The sequence below is a fragment of the Homo sapiens genome, chromosome 10 (genome assembly GCF_000001405.40).
Source record: "Homo sapiens chromosome 10, GRCh38.p14 Primary Assembly".
NCBI classification, from domain to species: domain Eukaryota; kingdom Metazoa; phylum Chordata; class Mammalia; order Primates; family Hominidae; genus Homo; species Homo sapiens.
The window spans coordinates 72,417,650-72,435,850 of NC_000010.11; the positions used below are offsets into that span (position 1 = coordinate 72,417,650).

Genomic DNA, 18,201 nt, shown 5'->3' on the forward strand with positions numbered 1-18,201 from the left:
TATGAAGTCTCAGAAAACTCTTTGTTAAATAAAAACATGGTGGTTTTTCAGAGCATCAATAGAGTAATTTTTGTCAAGCACGGCAGGTTCCCCAGTTCTTCAAACTATTACTTAGAGATAAAACAGCTAGAGACACTGATGGAGCATTGCATCTCTCGAGCAGTGGCTCATAAGCCTAGCTGCACATTAGATTTACCTGGGGACCCTTTGTATTAGTTCGTTCTTATGCTGTTAATAAAGACATACCTGAGACCAGGTAATTTACAAAGGAAAGAGGTTTAATTGACTCACAGTTTTGCAGGGCTAGGGACACCTCAGGAAACTTACAGTCATGGCAGAAGGGGAAGCAAACATATCCTTCTTCGCATGGCAGCAGGAAGAAGAATGAGTGCCTGGTGAAGGGGGAAGCCTTTTATGAAACCATCAGATCTCATGAGAACTAACTCATTGTCATGAGAACAGGATGGGGGAAACTGCCCCATGATTCAATTATCTCCACCTGTTCCCTCCCAGGACATATGGGGATTATGGGAACTACAATTCAACATGAGATCTGGGTGGGGACACAGCCAAACCATATCACCCTTTAAGAAACACTTCTGGAATTTCTCATGCAGAGGGTTAAGAAAACCCCAGAACACTGATGCCTGGACCCACCTACTGAGCCTCTGATTTAATTGATTTGAAGAGGGCCCAAACAACCACATTCCTTAAAAATTCCTCAAGTGATCCTATAGTAGAGAAGCACTGCTTTACAGGAAGAGTATGATTAGGAGAAACAGCACTTTCTTAAGGAAAAGACAAGATCTGGAATAGGAAGCCTTGGATTTTAGACCAGACTCTGAATGGGTTATTAACTTCTCTTTCTGTCTCTATATTCTCAAAAATACAGTATCTAACAAGGCTGTTAGAAAGGAAGAGAAAAATGGCTGTGAAACATTGCATGGTCATTAATTTATATGCAAAAATTTAATACCACCACTAGGACCTTCAATCTCTTAGGTCTTGTTTGATACCTTGATACAGAACCTCACACAGAAACTGATTAATGTCAGCCAAATGAAAACTTACATTTTCATGTTAACAAATCCAAAGTGGAATAAAAGAAGCAATTAGAAAGCAGATGGTGATTCCCCTTTTATAGGAAATGGTCCTAGAGAGATGGACTCGTAACCTTAGGAGCAAAGGCCCTTCCTTGACACTCACTTTAGTTAATTGCTATGTTCACAAACTATTTAATCAACATGAGAGGACAATCAATCTTAATCTCGTTGCTAACACAGGCTAGAAATTCTGGGCCAAAAGTAATTTAACACCGCAGATTTTCATCATCTGACAAAATTTGTCCTTTCATTTTAGAGCTCTTTTGCAAGGTCTTCAGATCCTAAATTAACTCCTGCCAATGCTCAAATACTCTTCCTTCAAGGGAGATGCCTCCAATGCCCCTTATTGCTTTTAAGTGTAAACTCACAATGAAATATGAATTCACCTATCATGATAGATAATTAAAGTCAAATCAATATCTGGACCAACCTTTAAAAATAAGCATGGTCTAAATAAACGAGCATGTCTGAATGTAAACACTATTCTTCCAGCATAGGGGTAAAAAATCCACCTATACATTCGTAATCAGTTTTTTGAAATTACGATTTCCAACAGATATAAGCTAAGTATTGGGTACTGTAGAAGTGCTCTATGGGAGATAAATGTTTTTTCTCTGTCACTTTCCATTAATGATGAGTCTTCCCCACAGCCAAGAGAACACCTGCTGTGGGAAAAGGCTGGACTGAGTTCAGAGAAGCTGACACTTCCTCTCAGAGCCAGCCTGCCCTCATTTGCAGCCCACAGCCTGGTTCAGAGGTCCTTTCAACTTTTCAATATCCAAGACAAGGAGGAAAAAGTCTGGCTGATAAGAAGGGTTTTCCACCAAGTTAGGGCAATGCTATGCATGCAACATTTCTTGCACAAAGACTAACTAGGAAAACTGGGACAAGCACTAGCAATCCTCTATCTTATTTTCAATTATTGAATCTTTAAAGCTAGAAGGGCCCTTACAGCAAGCATCTAGGATAAGCCTCTCAATTCATGAGGCCAGTAAGGTTAAGTGATTTGTCTAATGACTATGGGAACCTCTGAGGCAGAAGTTAGTCTCAAGTTTTCCATCTTCATGCCTACCATGCCACACTATCTTGGTGATATGGTTTGGCTGTGTCCCCACCCAAATCTCGAATTGTAGCTCCCATAATGCACATGTGTCGTGGAAGGGACCTGGTGAAAGGTAATTGAATCATGAGGGTAGGTCTTTAATGTGCTGTTCTTTTGATAGTAAGTCTCACAAGATCTGATGGTTTTACAAAAAGGAGTTCCCCTGCACATGCTCTCTTTCTTGCCTGCCACAACGTAAGACGTGTCTTTTCCTTTTTTTTTAAGACGGAGTTTCGCTCTTGTTACCCAGGCTGGAGTGCAATGGCGCGATCTCGGCTCACCGCAACCTCTGCCTCCTGGGTTCAAGCCATTCTCCTGCCTCAGCCTCCTGAGTAGCTAGGATTACAGGCATGCACCACCACGCCGGGCTAACTTTTTGTATTTTTAGTAGAGAGGGGGTTTCTCCATGTTGGTCAGGCTGGTCTCCAACTCCCAACCTCAGGTGATTTGCCTGCCTCGGCCTCCCAAAGTGCTGGGATTACAGGCATGAGCCACTGCGCCCAGCCATAAGACATGTCTTTTCTTCTCCTTTGCCTTCCGCCGTGATTGTGAGGCCTCCTCAGCCATGTGGAACTGTGAAATCAAACCTCTTTCCTTTATACATTACCAGTCTCGGTATGTCTTTATTAGCAGCATGAGAATGGACTAATACACTTGGAAATCTCTCATGGAACATTTTTAGTGCCAGGTTAGATTCTTGGTCATGGTCAGATGGTAGCCATTGTCCAGTGGGAAGAGTACTGGGCTGGGAATGAGAAAATCTGGGTTCTAGCCTTAGCACTGCTTTGTGTGTTTATGTGTGTGTGTTCTCTTAGAGGCCTGGATTTTTTTTTTTTTTAAGACAAGGTCTCACTCTGTCACCCAGGCTGGAGTGCAGTAGCATGATCATAGCTAACTGCAGCTTCAACCTCCCCAGGCTCAGGTGATCCTCCCACCTCAGTCTCCTGAGTAGCTGCGACTACATGCACGTGCCACCATGCCTGGCTAGTTTTTGTATTTTTTGTGGAGACAAGGTTTCGCCACTTTGCCCAAGCTGGTCTTGAACTTCTGGGCAGGAGAATCACTTGAACCCAGGAGGCGGAGGTTGCGATGAGCCGAGATCACGCCATTGCATTCCAGCCTGGGCAACAAGAGCGAAACTCCGTCTCAAAAAAAAAAAAAAAATAATAATAATAATAATAATAATAAAAAGAAAAGAAAAATAAAAAGAAAAGACACGTCTTACATTGCGGCAAGTCTTGAACTTTGATTCTCCTGCCTCGGCCTCCCAAAGTGCTGGGATTACAGGTATGTGCCACCATGCCTGATGAGGACTGACCTTTTAACTGGTCTCTGCTTCTGTTTGTTCATCTCTCTCTCAGATGCTGATTCAGTCCTATCATCTTTTCTTTCTTTCTTTTTTTCTTTATCTTTTTTTTTGAGATAGAGTTTCGTTCTTTCTCCCACGCTGGAGTGAAGTGGTGTGATCTTGGTTCACTGCAACCTCCGCCTCCCTCTGCACCCTCCCTTCCCCGGGTTCAAGCGATTCTCCTGCCTCAGCCTCCTGAGTAGCTGAGATTATAGGCGCCCACCACCACGCCTGGCTAATTTTTGTATTTTTAGTAGAGACAGGGTTTTGCCATGTTGGCCAGGCTGGTCTTGAACTCCTGACCTCAGGTGATCTGCGTGTCTTGACCTCCCAAAGCGTTAGGATTACAGGCGTGAGCCACCGTGCGCAGCCACCATCTTTTCTTTCCTTGTACCAGGGGCAGCTGGCGTTGAAGGGTACCAGAGAGCAGTGTTGCTAGTGTTCCACAAATCCATGTTCTCCAACCTCAAGGCTGCTCAAAAAACTCTAACTCATCTCCTAAATTCTAATAGGCTTATTATCAGTCTTTTTGTTTCTATGCTTGCTCTTCTCCAAACTATCTTCCATAAAACAGCCAGAGTTGTCTCTTTAAACGTACATACAACCATGTCATTTCACTACTCACAACTATTTAATGGCGTTCCATTGCACTGTGAGTGAACTCCAAACTCCCTCCATTCCTATGAAGTCTTGCATGTTCTGTTCCTCATATCCCTCTCTGAGCTCAGCTCAGGCCACTCTCCTTTTTGCTCAGAACCTTCTATACAAACTAGTCCCTTTTCAGTTCTTCACACATACCAGGTTTGTTTTTCCTGCTTGTTATGGACTGACCCCACCCCCTACCCCATTCATATGTTGAAGCCCTCCCTAACCCCTACTGTGCCCAATGTGGTTGTATTTGGAGATGGGGCCTTAGAGGAAATAACAAGGCTAAATGAGGTCACAAGGGTGGGGCCCTAATCTGCTAGGATTAGTGTTCTTATAAGAAGAAACACAAAGAGATTTCTCCCTCTCTTCATGTACACACACTGAGGAAAGCCTGTGTGAGGACACATTGAAAAGGCAGCTACCTGCAAGGCAGGAGGAGAGCTCTTATCAGAAACCAAATCAGCTGGCACCTTAATCACAGGATTCTATCCTCCAGGAATGTGAGAAAATAAATTTTTCCTGTTAAAGCCACCCAGTCTGTGGTATGTTGTTACAGAAGCCCCAGTAGGCTAATACACTGCCTTGGAATTTGCCTATGTGATTTCCCACTTTCCAGAGCCTCCTCTTCCACCTCTCTCCTTTCTCTGCTTCTGTACTTTTCATCGAATAGGGATGCCTTCCAACTAGACTACTCTAATGAAACAGCCCTCTCAAAGGTCACCAATTACTGCCATTTCACCAAAACCAATGGATGTTACCACCTTTAGCTTACTGGATCCTCGCTGTTATATGTGACATGGTAGACCCCTCAGTTCTTGAACCTTCTATTTCCTTGACTTTGATTTCACTACTCTCTTTAGGTATTCTTTTTTTTTTTTGAGATGAAGTCTCACTCTGTTGCCCAGGCTGGAGTTCAGTGGCATAATCTTGGCTCACTGCAACCTCTGCCTCCTGGTTTCAAGTGATTCTTGTGCCTCAGCCTCTGAGTAGCTGGGATTATGGGCACGCGCCACCATGCCCAGCTAATTTTTGTATTTTTAGTAGAGATGGGGTTTCACCATGTTGGCCAGGCTGGTCTTGAACCATGACCAGCCCATGACTGAATTCTTTATTTTCCCATCTAAACCGGTCTCTCCTTTAAAATTCTCAATTTCAGTTGGTGCCACCCTTTCCTGAACAAGAAACCTGGGATGATTCTGGACGCTCTCCTCTTCCTCACCCATTGCTTATTTCTTTTCTCCCTACGGACCTCAGGTACCAGAAATGAATTAGGTGTAATCATTGGTTCATGAAATACTCTCATCATTATGTTAATACCTTCATATTAAATAATAACCATACATTACCACGGTTTCTCTTCTTCCTCCAGCCAAAGCTACCTACCTTTCCTTCTTTGAAGTGCTTCTTGAGCTGCCTCTGCATGGCGGTCAGCTTCTTGGACTGCACCCCACTGTAGGCAAGTAGCATGCCACCAAACTGCCTCTCAGTAATTCTCCCATCCACAGGGTCATGGCGTTCAAACTGGGAGGGAAACAGAAAGAATGTTCCTAGGGTCAATGGAAAGTATTTTGACGTGGAACACGGAATGATCAGCTGTGTTTGATGGCAGAAAATAGCTGATGACTGGGACTATATTTTTGAGGTACAATTCTCAGTAAGATCTGCAAAAACTAAGAAACAGAAGATATAGGTTCTTATCCCAGATCTGCCACTTACTATTGTCAGAGACAGTCAAGCCAGAGCAACAGCATCTTGAGTAAGGTCTAGGAAAGATGAGGCTGGGACTTGCTGGGCTGCATTCCCAGGAAGTTAGGTATTCCTAGCCTCTAGATGTTTATGGTTAACGGAACAGATGGATAACATTTACTGATCAGACCCAGACTCAGCAATATCCCGATATCCTGATATCTTATGAATGGAAGCATTCCTAATTTTGCTTTAAAGATAATAATATTGATTACTCTTCTAAAAAATTCATAAAGGTCTGAGAGCATAATTTTAAAGAAGAGTAATATATTTTCAAGTTTCCCCAAAATAGCAATAAAATGTTAGGACATTGATAGAGATAGGACTTACATATGAGACACGAAATAAGAAAGTTAAGAGTGAATTTCTCTTTCAGCTCTCATTTCTTCAGCTAGCTCAGTAAGTTGACAGAGACCTAAATTTGTTTCCTTAGTAGTGGGACTGTGTCAATGAGCAAAACATAGAACTGTATTTTAATACAATTACTTTTGTATCAACCTATAACAGTGACCATTTCCCCCCCACCTTTTTTTTTAAGACGGAGTTTCACTCATCATCCAGGCTGGAGTGCAATGGTGCGATCTTGGTTTACTGCAACCTCTACCTCCCAGGTTCAAGCGATTCTCCTGTCTCAGCCTCCCGAGTAAATGGGATTACAGGTGCACACCACCACGCCTGGCTAATTTTTGTATTTTTAGGAGAGATAGGGTTTCACCATGTTGGCCAGGCTGGTCTTGAACTCCTGACCTCAGGTGATCCACTGGCCTCGGCCTCCCAAAGTGCTGGTATTACAGACATGAACCACCATGGCTGGCCTAACAGTGACCATTTACTGAGTATGTACTATGGGCCAGGTACTTCACCAATATGTTCTTTTTTTTAATTACTTTTTTTTTTGTAAATAGAGATGGGGGTCTTGCTATGTTGCCAGGCTGGTCTTGAACTTCTGGGATCAAGCAATCTGCCTGCCTTGGCCTCCTAAAGTGCTGGGATTACAGGTGTGAGTCACTGTGCCTGGCCTCATATAGTCACTATAACAGCCTACAGAGCAGCTACTATTAGCTCCACTCTGCAGATGAGAAAACTGAAGTAACATGCAGCTACATGTGACAGAGCTGGGATTTGAACTCAGCCTTATTTGGGTCCAAAGACTATCTCTCAACACCACACCATTTCCTACTTCTGAGCAGTGGCACATTCGCTTCCTGTACAATAGCACTGTGTTGTTTTGGATAAACTTATACAGCCATGGGGCTTAGTCACATTTAAATGAGACACAAAACTATGTCTAAAGAAATCAACATCATCAATATTAGGTGAAAGCCTCTTTTTCAACACTGCCACTCAATTTTTGATGTTTGTCACACCATCTTTCTATAGAGCTGATAAATTTTTGACAATACCAAAAGTTTTCAGGATTCAATTTAAGTGTGATTTATGACTCAATTTACTATCCTGAAACAAAGTGAAGGACTGACAAAATTTTCTAAATGGGCATACTTTTTGCAATGTTTAAATCAGATTTTCAGTGAAATCTGAAACCTGGGTAAAAGTTCACCTATGGGCTTCTTCAAGGCATGTGAAACAAGGCTGTGCTCCCTGCTCTCCAGGGCCGACTTTAATGATTTAAAGTGTTCATTCTACCCTTATCTGGGAGGTTTCACAGCTGTGGGGCAATCCCGTATGTTGGAACTAGATGAATTTTCAGCTTTATCTCACCAGATAGATTCATGGTTGAAAAGTTTCTTGTTTGTAACACTGGCAGCAGCTGCAGCTTGCTCAAGGCTTATAAAAGGCCTTTATTCTCTGTTCTTCATAGGGGCACAAGGCCTCGCCTCTGTTTTGTTTCAGACAGTAAGGTCAATTTCCAGTGCAGATGCCCAAGCAGCAATTCCAAGATTAGCATTTTTACTAATGTTCTTTGAAAACTCAGACTTGTCTTTTGGTAATGGGCTCTATTATGATTATTTTTAAGTGACTGGAATCTGAAAGGGCTTAAAAACAATCAACTTCTGCTTGTCCAAGTCGTATGGCCACTTCGACGCTTACTACTTCAGTTCTATAATTTGATTTTGGGCAGCACCTCTCCTTTTAGGTTTTTAGGCTTTTCTGAGGCAGGAACCCCCTTATTTCTGAGGTCTTAAACATGGCTGGAGGGAGCCATGGAGAGCTGTTTTTCTTTACACGCAAAACTGCTAATGGAAACAGACTTGAACTAATGTCCTATTTGTTCAAAATTTATTAACTGAAGACCACTATGCTAAGGCTAGGGAACTTTGAAGGCAGTATCTCAAGGACCTTCATTCGGGTTAAATTTTCAAGGGCAATAGCTAGACATCATGTGGCTGCAGGGGTCAAGTGTATGCAGGGTTAAGCATTGCTAATCCAAAAACCCCAAATCTGAAATGCATCAAAATCCAAAACTTTTTTTGTTGTTGAGCAACTTTTTTTGTTGTTGTTGTCCAGGCTGGAGTACAGTGGCATGATCTTGGCTCCCTACAACTTCCGCCTTCTGGGTTCAAGTGATTCTCCTGCCTCAGCTTCCCAAGTAGCTGGGACTACAGGCATGTGCCACCATGCCCAGATAATTTTTGTAGTTTTAGTAGAGACAAGGTTTCACTATATGTTGGCCAGGCTGGTCTCAAACTCTTGACCTCAGGTGATCCGCCTGCCTTGGCCTCCCAAAGTGCTGAGATTACAGGCGTGAGCCACTGCACCTGGCCCAAAATCCAAAATTTCTTGAGCACCAACACGTTGCTCAAAGATCATGCAAAAAGGAAATGCTTATTGGAGCATTCTGGATTTTTTTTTTTTTTTTTCAGACAGGGTCTTGCACTGTCACCCAGGCTGGAGTGCAGTGGCACAATCATGGCTCACTGCAGCCACGACCTCCTAGGCTCAAGTGATCTTCCCATCTTAGCCTTCTGAGTAGCTGGGACTATAGGCATGCACCACCATGCCTGGCTAATTTTTGCATTTTTGTAGAGATGGGGGTACCCTATGTTGCCTGGGCTGTTCTCAAACCCTTGAGCTCAAGCTATCTGCCCACCTCAGGCCTCCCAAAGTGCTGGGATTACAGGCATGAGCCACAGCACCCGGCCTGAATTTTGGATTAGTGATGCTCAACCAGTAAGTATAACACAAATGTTCCAAAATCTGAAACTGCTGGTCCCAAGCATTTTGGATAAGGGATACTCAACCGCTATCTTAAGCTGGGACAATCCTGTGGGTGCACTCCTGGAGTGCCATATACATGTAATCAATCCCCAAGGTTGTGGGAGGATCTTTTGAGGAAAGACACAGGTTATTACAAAATTATCATAATGTAGAAAAGTTCTAATTGCATATTTGGAAGAAATTCAAATTACAGGCTTATATTTTACTTCACCCAAGCTATTTTCCACTAATGTTGGAACCTCTGATGTTCTACTTCAATGAAAATTAAAAGCCTCCACTGTGTTTGATTCTGAGGCACAGCATGTGTGTATTCCAGCATGCCACCCACCATCTGCATTGTTTTTCCGTGTCTAGGAAGAGAGCTTAACAGCCTCACATTTCCCCTTCTGCAGCCATTGCCACTTTCTCAAATGGATACAAGCTGTTGTTTCCCTGTTGTTCCCCAGGGGGCTGCAGGGTAGGCAAGGAGGAGCCAAAAAACTGCAAGGTTTTTCCTGGCTTTCTGTTCACACTGCGCCTCTTGTTCCCATCCGTCCCTTGTCGTTTTGGAAGGACAGATGGTCTACACGTATCTGGATGAAATGACTTAAGAATGAGAAGCCAGGAAAGGAAGAAAACATATATTATGAACAAAGGCCAAAAGTAAGAATAGAAGCACAGTAAAAGGAAAAAGAAATCAGTATCTGCAAGTGGGTCTTCATTTGTTGAAGACTTTTGAGGTTAATGTATCCAACAAATGTAAACTTCAGCCTTCTCTTTCATACAGTTATCTTTCAAGAGACTCTGTCCATCCCCCAGAGTAAATCCTCTCCTCATACAAGTTTTCAGAATGATAAATTTTGGGGACCAGGTGTAGTGCCTCATGCCTGTAATCCCAGCACTTTCGGAGGCTGACATGGGTGGATCGCTTGAGCCCAGGAGTTCAAGACCAGCTTCAGCATCATAGACCCCATCTCTAAAATATATATATATATATATATATATATATATATATATGAATGATAAATTTCTTGATAGGCTTCTGAACTGTGCAATGCAAGACTGCATAGTGATCTCAAGCCACTGAGCTGAACACATCTGTGTTTTTGAATCTGATAGTATGTGGCTTTTGAGGTCCTAACCATGCCACTGCCACTATCAGGAGTCTCAGAATAACTGTGTTATGCCCATCTAAAGGAAAATGATTACAAGGAAAGTTCTCGACTGTAAACCTACCCGGTGAGCATGACATACACATTTCATAGTTTGAATTGAAATCTATGTTACTGCAATTGACAAGGGACACTCAAGAGCCCAGGTCAGACTGCCAGGAGTCTGAATTTTCTTGATCTTTAAAGAGGCAGCTTTATTGCAAACACTAACAAGGTTGTCTTTTGAGTAGCTGGCAAACTGAGGAAGAAGGTTCACAATCTGGAACAGAGGCAACACAGTTTAGTGCCTTCAGCAGGGGCCAAAACAAGTCATTAGAGTCTTGGTCCATAAGATTATAGATTACCAAACTCAACTGCTAGAGCTTTCTACTTCCAATCCAAACATTCCTTCTATTTTATTTTATTTTTGAGATGGAGTTTTGCTCTTGTTGCCCAGGATGGAGTGCAATGGCGCGATCTCCACTGCAACCTCTGCCTCCCAGGTTCAAGCAATTCTCCTGCCTAAGCCTCCCAAGTGGGCTGGGATTATAGGCGCTCACCACCATGCCTGGTTAATTTTTTGTATTTTTGGTAGAGATGGGGTTTCACCAAGTTGGCCAGGCTGGTCTCGAACTCCTGACATCAGGTGATCCACCCGCCTCGGCCTCAAGTGCTGGGATTACAGGCGTGAGACACTGTACCTGGCCTCCTTCCATTTAAAAATGGTTTTTAAGAAAAAATTTCAGGTTGGTGATCAAAACAACTGACTAAATGATGAGTACCAATCACAACAGTCAGACCAGGGAAAGGTTAACCCTCCAGCCTGACAGCCAAAACCACGAAGATAATAAGATTAATGCATGAATTTATTACAAGATAATAACAATCAGGAAATATTTGACTGAGGGTGTCAGGGAAAAATATTTTAGATTTGGAACAAAAGGTTTCAAGGTTTGATATGTTTTGTTTTCATTCCACAGAAGGTAATATACTGAAGTGACTAAGAATATGGACTTTACAATCAGGAAGGCCTGGATCCAAATTCTGGCCTGAACCCATACTTGCTGGCTGTGACTTCAAGGAAGTGGCTTACCCGTTCCGAGGGTTCAAATCTTCTTACCAAAAAATAGAGATAATATTCGTGACCTCAAAGTGTTGTTGTAAAGATTAAATGGGATAATATATGTAAAGAAATTAGTACAGAGTTTGAGGCCCAGTTAACATTCAATAAATGGGCTGGGTGTGGTGGGTCACACCTGTAATCCCAGCATTTTGGGAGGCCAAGGTGGGAGGATCACTTGAGGTCAGGAGTTTGAGACCAGCCTGGTCAACATGGTAAAACCCTGTCTCTACTGAAAATATAAAAATTAGCCGGGTCTGGTGGTGTGCACCTGTAATCCCAGCTACTTGGGAGGCTGAGGCAAGGGAATCAGTTGAACCTGGGAGGTGGAGGTTGCAGTGAGCCAAGATCGTGCCACTGCACTCCAGCCTGGGTGACAGAGCGAGATCCTGCCTCAAAAAAAAAAAAAAAAGAAAAAAAATTCAATAAATGTAGCAATTAATTTTATTTATTATTCAACACATTAGAATGACTTTAAGATTAAACTACTTAGAGTTTCTTGAAGCAGAACACCAACTTAATAACCTGTACCCTGGCCATAATTATAAAACAGAAAACCTGGCATAAAGAAAGAGCTCAATAAATATGTATTGAATGAACACAGACAAAACACCAGAAAATTCACAACACTTCTGTCCTATTGTTGGGAGGGTTTCCTATCTAAGGCAAGGAATATCTCTACGTTTATCTCTTAATATCTACCTCCATGATACTGATTTCTATAAGGATAGTCTTGAGAATGCCATTCATTTTGGCTAATCAGTAACATATCTGAGTGCTTATACTTGCCAGGTGCCATCCTAGGAACTAACCTTTGTTAATTCTCGCAATGCTATATAATAGGTAATAGTATTATTCTATTTCAAAAACAGAGAAAAGTGAAATAACTTGCCCACACAGTTAATGTGGAGAGAAATTTCTCTCTGGTCTCAGTATCAGAACAGTTGATATGTTCTTATTTTAAAGTCAACGTGAATCATGTTTGCCTTTTTATCCTGGTTACTGGAAAGCTTATAGTCAAGTTTGTGGGCCTCTTCTAGAATAGGAGACATTATGACTTACACTTTTCATACTAACCTTACTTAACTTTTCTTAAAAGAAAGTTAGGCTTTCTTTTACTTTCTTCTTTCTTTTAACTTTAATTTTCAGCAAGTTTTTACTTTTATCTCACTGCCTGTACTTTTTATGAATTTCTGAAATCCCTTCTTGAAAAAGGCAAGATTTAAAAAAATGGTATTGGACATCTAGGCTGTTTCATTTTTTGTCTATGGTAAGTACCACTCTGATAAACTTTTGCTGAACTTAATTTTTCATCATTATTTTAGGAATTGATCCCTAGAAACAAAATTCTGAAATATAAATTATGGGATCTTTAAAATTTTATTGTGAAATATTTGACATATACATAATAATACATATAACAGACAAGTTATGAAGCATAATAAAACAAACACCACGAGCCTCCCACTTACCCTGAGAAAGGAAGCATCGGCACTCCATTTGAAGCCCATGCCCTGCCTCCCTTTTCTAGTACATTATTAATATTATTATTTTTTAGATAGGGTCTCGCTCTGTTGCCCAGGCTGGAGTGCAATGGCGTGATCTTGGCTCACTGCAACCTCCACCTTCCAGGTTCAAGCAATTCTCCTGCCTCAGCCTCCTGAGTAGCTGGGACTACAGGCATGCGCCACCACGCCTGGCTAATTTTTGTATTTTTAGTGGAGACGTGGTTTCACTCCATTGGCAGGCTGGTCATGAACTCCTGACCTCAGGTGATCCGCCAGCCTCAGCCTCCCAAAGTGCTGGGATTACAGGCGTGAGCCACTGCACCTGGCCTATTATTTTCAATAGTTTAAAACAAAAGCTTGTATTCCTAAACAATATATTGTTTACTTTTACTTGCTTCCTAACTTTATAAAATGGTATCACAGTGGATATATTCTTTTGCAATTTGTTTTTTTTAATCCTCATTATATTTCAAGGATTCCTACATGTTACAACATTTAACTGTGCTTCTTTCATTTTTACTGTTACAGATTTCTACTGCTTTGAATATACCTTTATCTGTCTGTCTATCTATCTATCTATCTATCTATCTATCTATCTATCTATCTATCTATTTTCTGAGATAGGGTCTTGGTCTGTCACCCAGGCTGGAGTGCAGTGGTGTGATCTTGGCTCGCTGCAACCTCTGCCTCCCAGGTTCAAGTGATTCTCATGCCTCAGCCTCCTGAGTAGCAGGGATTGCAGGCGAGCACTACCACGCCAGCTAATTTTTGCATTTTTGGTAGAGACAGGGTTTCGCCATCTTGCCCAGGCTGGTCTCGAGCTCCTGGCCTCAAGTGATCCTCCCACCTTGGCCTCACAAAATGCTGGGATAACAGGTGTAAGCCATCGTGCCCAGCTTCTACCACTATTTACGTATCAGCTTTCCTCTAAATGGACATCTCAATTATTGTCAGTTTTTTGCTATTAGGAACAATGCTGTTATGAACATTCTTAGATAACTGTGCTGATGAAAGAAAAACAAGAGTTCTGAGACTAGGGTATATATCTGGAAGTGGAACTGCCGGCCTTTCAAGATAATGCCCAATCATTCTGCAAAATAATCACACCAACACTTTTTATCAGCTATGTATAAGAGTGCCCACTGCTTTGCATCACCACCAGCACTTGGTATTGTCAGTTTTTATTTTTTGCCACTCTCTTCGGTCTAAAAATGGTAGAGATAAACTATTTAATGCTCCCAATGTAGTCTGCCAAATTAATTTCCAGAAAAATGTATCAATTTGCAATCCCACTAGTATATATGAGAATATGCATTTCTTAGTATCCTTAACAAAATCAAACATAATAAAAAATCTTTGCTAGAGGAAAAGTGACAACTCATTTTAATTAGTATTTCTTTGATTACTAGGTTGACCATTTTTCTAACATATGTAGTGGTCATTTATATTTCTTCCTCTGTGAATTTTTTATGTTGTCTATTTTTAAAAATAGCAGTGCTGATACTTGTCTCATTAGCTTAAGATTAAAAATATTTGCTTTTTGTTAATGTATTGCCTTTTTTTTTTTTTTTTTTTAATTTGAGGCAGGGTCTCACTCTGTCACCCAGGCTGCAGCACAGTGGTGTGATCAACACTTAATGCAGCCTCAACTTCCTGGGCTCAAGCAATCCTCCCACCTCAGCCCCCTGAGTAGCTAGGACTACAGGCGTGTGCCACCATGCCCAGCTATGTTTCTAAAAAATTTAATACAAATAAATATAAAAACCAAATTTTCTTTTTGTAGAGACGGGGTTTTCCTCTGTTGCCCAGGATGGTCTCAAACTCCTGGCCTCAAGTGATCCTCCCACTTTGGCCTTCCAGTGTGCTGGGATTACAGGCATGAGCCACCCTGCCTGCCAATTTTTTTGCCCAGTGTATTAGTCCATTTGTGTTGCTATAAAGGAATACCTGAAGCTGGGTAATTCATAAAGAAAAGAGGTTTATTTTGGTTCTGCAGGCTATAGGGGAAGGATGGTGCCAGCCTCTGCTTCTGGTGAAGGCTTCAGGGAGCTAACAGACATGGTGGAAGTTGAAGTGGGAGCAGGCATATTACATGGCAAGAGTAAAGAGGAAAAGAGAGGGGGAAGGTTCCAGGCTGTTTTAAAAAACCAGCTCTCATGTGAACGAGAGCAAGAACTCATTCATTACTATGGGGACGGCACCAGGCCATTCATGAGGGATCCACTCCCACGACCCAAACACCTCCACTAGGCACAGCCTCCAACATTGCGGGGGTCACATTTCAACATGAGATTTGTAGGGGACGAATATCCAAACCACATCACTCAGTTTGCCCATCTGTTAATTTTGTTTAGGTCTGTTTTATGTGTGGAAATTTAAAATCTTTATTGTAGGCAAATGCGTGGATCTTCTTCTTCCTTTATGTTTTTTTTGAGACGGAGTCTCACCTGGGCTGGAGTGCAGTGACACGATCTCGGCTCACTGCAACCTCCGCCTCCCAGGTTCAAGTGATTCTCCTGCCTCAGCCTCCCGAGTAGCTGGGATTACAGGTCTGCACCACCATGCCCAGCTAATGTTTTGTATTTTTTAGTAGAGATGAGGGTTCACCATGTTGGCCAGGCTGGTCTTGAACTCCTGACCTCAGGTCATCCTCCTGCCTTGGCTTCCCAATGTGTTGGGATTACAGGCGTGAGCCACTGGTGCCTGGCTTTTTCTTCGCAATTTTTTTTTGAGACAGAGTCTTGCTCTGTTGCCCAGGCTGAAGTGCAGTGGCACAATCTCAGCTCATCACTGCAACCTCTATCTCCTGGGTTCAAGTGATTCTCCTGCCTCAGTCTCCCGAGTAGCTGGGATTACAGGTGCATGCCACCATGCCCAGCTAATTTTTGTATTTTTGTATTTTTTTTTTTTTTTTGAGATGGAGTCTTGCTCTGTCGCCCAGGCTGGAGTGCAATGGTGCAATCTCAGTTCACTGCAAGCTCCGCCTCCCAGGTTCACACCATTCTCCTGCCTCAGCCTCCAGAGTAGCTGGGACTACAGGCGCCTGCCACCACGCCTGGCTAATTTTTTTGTATTTTTAGTAAAGACAGCGTTTCACCATGTTGGTCAGGCTGGTCTCGAACTCCTGACATCAGGTGATCCACCCGCTTCAGCCTCCCAAAGTGCTGGGATTACAGGCGTGAGGCACCGTGCCCAGCCTACAACTTCTTTCATTGGCTTATATTCTTGGGAATCTTTCCTCATTAGATAAGAAAGTAATTAAATATTGACCTACAGTTTCTTTATTTTAAACAAGGAAACATAAAATATTAAAACATATTCCTCAATATCAATCAATGACGATGATTAAATCCTTAGAACAAAACAGCAGATCATCAGCTCAGTTTGTTTTAAAAAGTCCTCCAGTACTGACTTTAACTTCTCTGAGTGCTTGGGAATTTGGAATAGAATGGGGGCATTTACCTCTAATTTAATCACATTCCCCTTGTGGAAGGAATAATCTTGAGTAAATCCAGTTCACTTAACTTTTTTTTTTTTAACCAGCTTAAATGTATGTCATTAGGTATGGAGAGATGGAGAAAGTGGGAAATAATAATTCAGTTCCAAAACAAAGAAGGCCTAAATGGGCCATCTTCCTTACTTAGAAAAATTCTCTAGATGGTTAAAGAACAATCCATATTCTAACATTTATAACGGCAAACATTTACATAGCACTTATTATGTACCAGAGCCTATACTAAGTGCTTTCCATCAACTCGCAGAGCATTTTAAATTACATAAAACTTGTTGGTTATCTTTCCTTCAGACCTTGATCAATATGAATAAGCCTTAAACTCTGGCAGAATTAACTGCTATTTAATATTCCAACCAATCTATGCAGTTCATGTTTCCACATGAAATTGCTAAAAATTTCATGCCATTTTTCCTTTTAGATGACTCTTCAGCAAGCAGAAGATCTTATATCCAATTTCTGCTTTCAATAACATGAAAAACCCTAGTCTTGTGTTACATACTTCTCTGAGATTTAGGAGGCCCAACATTATTCAGAGTTCAAAGATGTTCTTCTTTTCATATGGGATTGTAAGAGTTTTGGAAACAGAGAGACTGTCTGTTAGAACAAAATATAACAGCTCCAAATTTAGGAGTTAAGAACCAAGGACTAATTGTAGTAGAAAAGCAAACTGCTATTTTCTCTCACCTGAGTGCCAGTTTGCTTTCCTCTAACTCCATCAAAGAGCACTCTGGGATCTACTGCTTAGATGAAAATATTAATACAACACATTCCCACACTCCTTTTGTCCTAGCATTGCTGACAGCTTATCAGCATTCATAAGAGAGTTGGAAATTTAGCTTGTTCATATACTCAACACCTAAAGACCCCTATACCAGGCTTGATATGCTGATTTTTCCTAAAGATGTGGCAAACTGTGGAAAGCAGTAACAAATGTGAAAAGCTGTTAGGAAGTAATGATAATAATTAAGATATAGGATTTACTTTGGGCTTAGTAATCCATAGTTGATTATCTCCTCATCATTGTGAGTAACTGAATAAATAAAAATAAAAATGAAGAAATAAAGGCCAGGTATGGTGGCTCATGCCTGTGATCCCAGCACTTTTGGAGGGAAGGTGGGAGTACTGCTTGAGGCCAGGAGTTCGAGAGCAGCCTGGGCAGCACAGTGAGACCTGATTCTACAAAAATTTAAAAATTAGCTGGGCATGGTACCATGTGCCTGTAGTCCCAGCTACTTGGGAGGCTGAAGTGAGAGGATCACTTGAGTCCAGGAGTTCAAGGCTGCGGTGAGCTATGATCATGCCACTGCACTCCACCCTGGGCCAGAGTGAGACCCTGTTACAAAAAAAAAAAAAAAAAAAAAAAAAAGTGGGGGGCGTTCCAAGATGGCTGAATAGGAACAGCTCTGGTCTGCAGCTACCAGCATGATCGATGCAGAAGATGAGTGATTTCTGCATTTCCAATTGAGGTATCTGGTTCATCTCACTGGGACTGGTTGGATAGTGGGGGCAGCCCACGGAGGACGAGCTGAAGCAGGGCGGGGTGTCACCTCACCTGGGAAGTGCAAGGGGTTGGGGGATTTCCCTTTCCTAGCCAAGGGAAGCCGTGACAGACTGCCTGGAAAAACGGGACACTCCTGCCCAAATACTGTGCTTTTCCCAAGGTGTTAGCAACTGGCAGACAAGGAGATTCTCTCCGGTGCCTGGCTCAGCATGTCCCACGCCCACGGAGCCTTGCTCACTGCTAGCGCAGCAGTCTGCGATCGAACTGCAAGGCTGCAGCTGGGCAGGGGGAGAGGTGTCCACCA

At 42.2% G+C, this 18,201-nt stretch overlaps 1 protein-coding gene across 24 annotated transcripts in view, besides 1 other annotated feature; it reads right to left on the reverse strand.

The window, feature by feature from the left end:
- MICU1 (mitochondrial calcium uptake 1) overlaps positions 1-18,201 on the reverse strand; it is a 258,740-nt gene that overhangs the window by 50,310 nt on the left and 190,229 nt on the right. For all 24 annotated transcript variants that reach the window (NR_199811.1, NR_199809.1, NR_199810.1 and 21 more), the window contains one exon: positions 5,585-5,722. Coding sequence is in view for 21 of the 24 variants with exons in the window: in NM_001441228.1 (NP_001428157.1) it covers positions 5,585-5,722 (138 nt within the window). In the remaining 3 variants the exon portion in view is untranslated. The remainder of the gene's footprint in view (positions 1-5,584; positions 5,723-18,201) is intronic.
- Positions 4,904-5,637: an enhancer, noted in NCBI's record as "H3K27ac-H3K4me1 hESC enhancer chr10:74182311-74183044 (GRCh37/hg19 assembly coordinates)". NCBI's record gives its function as "activates a minimal SCP1, AML or CMV promoter by ChIP-STARR-seq in primed H9 embryonic stem cells {active_cell/tissue: H9 hESC(primed)}" and the evidence as "EXISTENCE:reporter gene assay evidence [ECO:0000049][PMID:30033119]".